Source organism: Homo sapiens, chromosome 2 (assembly GCF_000001405.40).
Source record: "Homo sapiens chromosome 2, GRCh38.p14 Primary Assembly".
NCBI lineage: Eukaryota > Metazoa > Chordata > Mammalia > Primates > Hominidae > Homo > Homo sapiens.
In genome coordinates, this window is record NC_000002.12 from 172,234,610 (window position 1) to 172,237,846 (window position 3,237).

At 44.9% G+C, this 3,237-nt stretch overlaps 1 annotated feature.

Annotated features, from left to right (window-relative positions):
- Positions 372–666: a silencer, noted in NCBI's record as "tiled region #4152; HepG2 Repressive non-DNase unmatched - State 4:PromP, and K562 Repressive DNase matched - State 4:PromP". NCBI's record gives its function as "represses a minimal TATA promoter and a strong SV40 promoter by Sharpr-MPRA in HepG2 and K562 cells {active_cell/tissue: HepG2 | K562}" and the evidence as "EXISTENCE:reporter gene assay evidence [ECO:0000049][PMID:27701403]".

The following is a 3,237-nucleotide window of genomic DNA, read 5'->3' on the forward strand; positions in this document are numbered from 1 at the left end:
GATCTTACAGGGCAGAGATCCACACCTGTGGGTCATGTGTTTGAAACAAGGTCCACAAGCAACCCCGTGGGTCCATTCTGTTTTCCCCGAAGAATACTGAATGGGATGGGAGGTTCCTGGGGAGCGTGCTTTGACCCTGGGACAGCGCACGGGAGGAAGGCCCCGCACAGTCTGGCTGCCTGGGGGTCTTGTCGCCTGGGGGCGGCGGAGAGCGCCAAGGCAGCCAAAAGAAGCTTGTGTCGTGGAGCAGCGGCGGGCACGGGGGACACTGGGGGGAGCAGCGGCGGGCATCTGGAGGCATCGGGGGACAGCGGGGGACATTGAGGGGCAGTGAGGGCGGCCGAGTTGTCGGCGGTGGGCGGCGCCGGGGGAGCCGCGCTCGGGGACAGCTGGCGGCTCAACGGCAGCATCGGCAGCATCGAGAAAGGTGACGAGTTCTGCAAATAACAGCTGCGGAGCAATCGTTATGTTTGGACAACGTGGGAAGGGCCATTGTTCACAAATTGTTCTCTTCAACAACACCTGCATGCACAGATAATAATCCATTGTCGGTCTCCGGCTTCAAAGACAAAAGGCAGCCGCGGAGGGAGGAGTCAGCAGAGCCTGGAGATAACAGGACCACTTTGCAACCGGGGAGAGTGCAAACGAGGACTCCAAGTCGCGTCCCGGGTCTGCCGCGACGGTCGCTCACCGCAGGGGTCTCCTTCCTCTTCTGGCAGCGAGTGCGACCTCTTTTATCCTAGCAGGCCACCACCTTCGCGGCAACAAACATCATTTCCTATGCAGTTGCAAAGCATGCTCCCTTGCAATCAGCGATCAATACTGGCAAAGTGGCTCCAGGATAGGAAAGGTCGCACGTGTGTTGGTAAATGGAAAGGTTTATGAGGCGCAGGTGGTCGTGCTCCGCGGAGATTGTGGTATTAGCATGTCAAAGACAAAACGGAACCAAGGTATACAGGCACAGAGTCTCTTCCTGGGGCTCCGGGAAAGCTTGGCACGACCCTCTTGAGCCTTCAGTTTAAAATGAAACGCTGGCGCCAGATGTGGCCACCACATTGCTGATAAGTCCAGTACCTTCCGTTTGTGCAAAGCTTTGTGATTTAAGGTTAAGTAGTTTTGCTTACTTCTCTCATTTGAGCCTTATAAAGACAGTGTGAAGTCTGTAGTGAGTAAAAGCCCTATTTTAACAGAAAAGGAACCAAGGGACCAAGTTGGAACTTGAATCTGGGGTCTACTGATGTTCCATTCACTACACTGCTTGGTATAACTGCATATCAGGTTATTTGGATTTTATTTTATTTTTTTCTTTTTCAGCCTTTATTCAGTAACTACTACCAGATTAGGTAATAGGCACATAGAGACATGAGACATACATTCCCTACCTTGCTATGCTGTTCAACATAGTAGCACGTGGTAATTTAAATTTAATGAAAAGTCAATAAAATTTAAAATTAACTTTCTCAGTACAACTAGCCATATTTAAAGTGCTCAGAAGCCATATGTGCCTAGTGGCTGCTGTATTGGGCAGGGCAGAAAGTTCTACCGGGCAGCACTGTGTCTACAGGCTAACAATCTAATGAAGATTAAAGACAGTCTCACTTCTTTTCTGTCCTATTTGCTACTTCCTTGCAGTTCATTCGTTCCTTGGTACATGTGTGCCTCTTGCTTTCTAAAAGACACCCTGAGCAGTTTCCAGCTTTATTGAGGTCAAATGTGCATGCAATGGATGCATCCATTCTCATGCACAAGTCAATGAGTTTTGACTCTTGAACAATTGTGTGAACACCACCATAATCAAGACACAGGACATTTATATTTTAGCAAAATATTCCCTGTGTCCTTTCCCACTCATTCTGTTACCGGAAAGGGGTCCCGATCCAGACCCCAAGAGAGGGTTCTTGGATCTCGCACAAGGAAGAATTCAGGGCAGGTCTGTAAAGTGAAAGCAAGTTTATTAAGAAAGTAAAAGAATAAAAGAATGGCTACTCCATGGCTCTAGACAGAGCAGCCCCGAGGGCTGCTGATTGCCCATTTTTATCGTTATTTCTTGATTATATGCTAAACAAGGGGTGGATTATTCAGGCCTCCCCTTTATAGACCATATAGGGTAACTTCTGACGTTGCCGTGGCATTTGTAAACTTATGGCACAGGTAGGAGTGTAGCAGTGTGGACTCCCAGAGGTCACTCTCCTAGTCATCTCGGTTTTGGTGGGTTTTGGCCAGTTTCTTTACTGCAACCTGTTTTATTAGCAAGCTCTTTATGACCTGTATCTTGTGCCGATATCCTGTCTTATTCTGTGACCTAGAATGCTTTAACCATCTGGGAATGCAGCCCAGCAGGTCTCATCCTCATTTTTACCCAGCCTTTATTCAAGATGGAGTTGCTCTGGTTCAAATACCTCTGACAATTCCTCCCCCCAACCGTTGTTCAGGCAAGACTGCCCTATTTTCTGTCATTATATATTAAATTTTAGTTTCTAGAATTTTAAATAAATGGAATTATGTAATATTTATTCTTTTATCTGGCTTCTTTCCCTCAGCATAATGTTTTTGAGATTCATCCATGTTGTTGCATGTATCAGGAGTACCTTTTTATTGCTGAGTAATATTCTTTTGTATGGATATATCACAATTTGTTTATTCACTCACCTGTTGATAGACATTGGGGTCGTTTCCAGTTTTGGCTATTATGAATAAAGTTGTTATGAACATTTACATGCCAGCTTTGTGAGGACATGTTTCCATTTCCTAAAAGTGGAATTGCTGGGTCATATGGTAAATATACGTTTACCTACATAAGAAACTGCTAAACTGTTTCCAAAATGACTATGACATTTTGCATCCTGTTTGGCAAAGCTGCAGGATACAAGGTCAACATATAAAAATCAATTCTATTTCTATATGATAGCTATGAACTGTCTATTTCAGAAATAGAATTTTTAAAAGCACCATTTATAGAAGCATAAAAATATGCAATAGGGTGAAATTTAGCAAAATATGTGTATGCTCTGAACACTGAAAACGACAAAATACTACTGAGAAAAATTTTAGAAGACCTAAATAAATGGAGAGAAATATACTGTGCTCACAAATTGGAAAGTTGATCTTCTTTTTGTTTTTTTACTCATTGAGAGAGAGTTCTTGCTATGTTGCCCAGGCGGGTCTCAAACTTCTGGACTCCAGCAATCTTCCCACTTCTGGCTCCTGAGTAGTTAGGATTACAGGTGTGAGCCACCA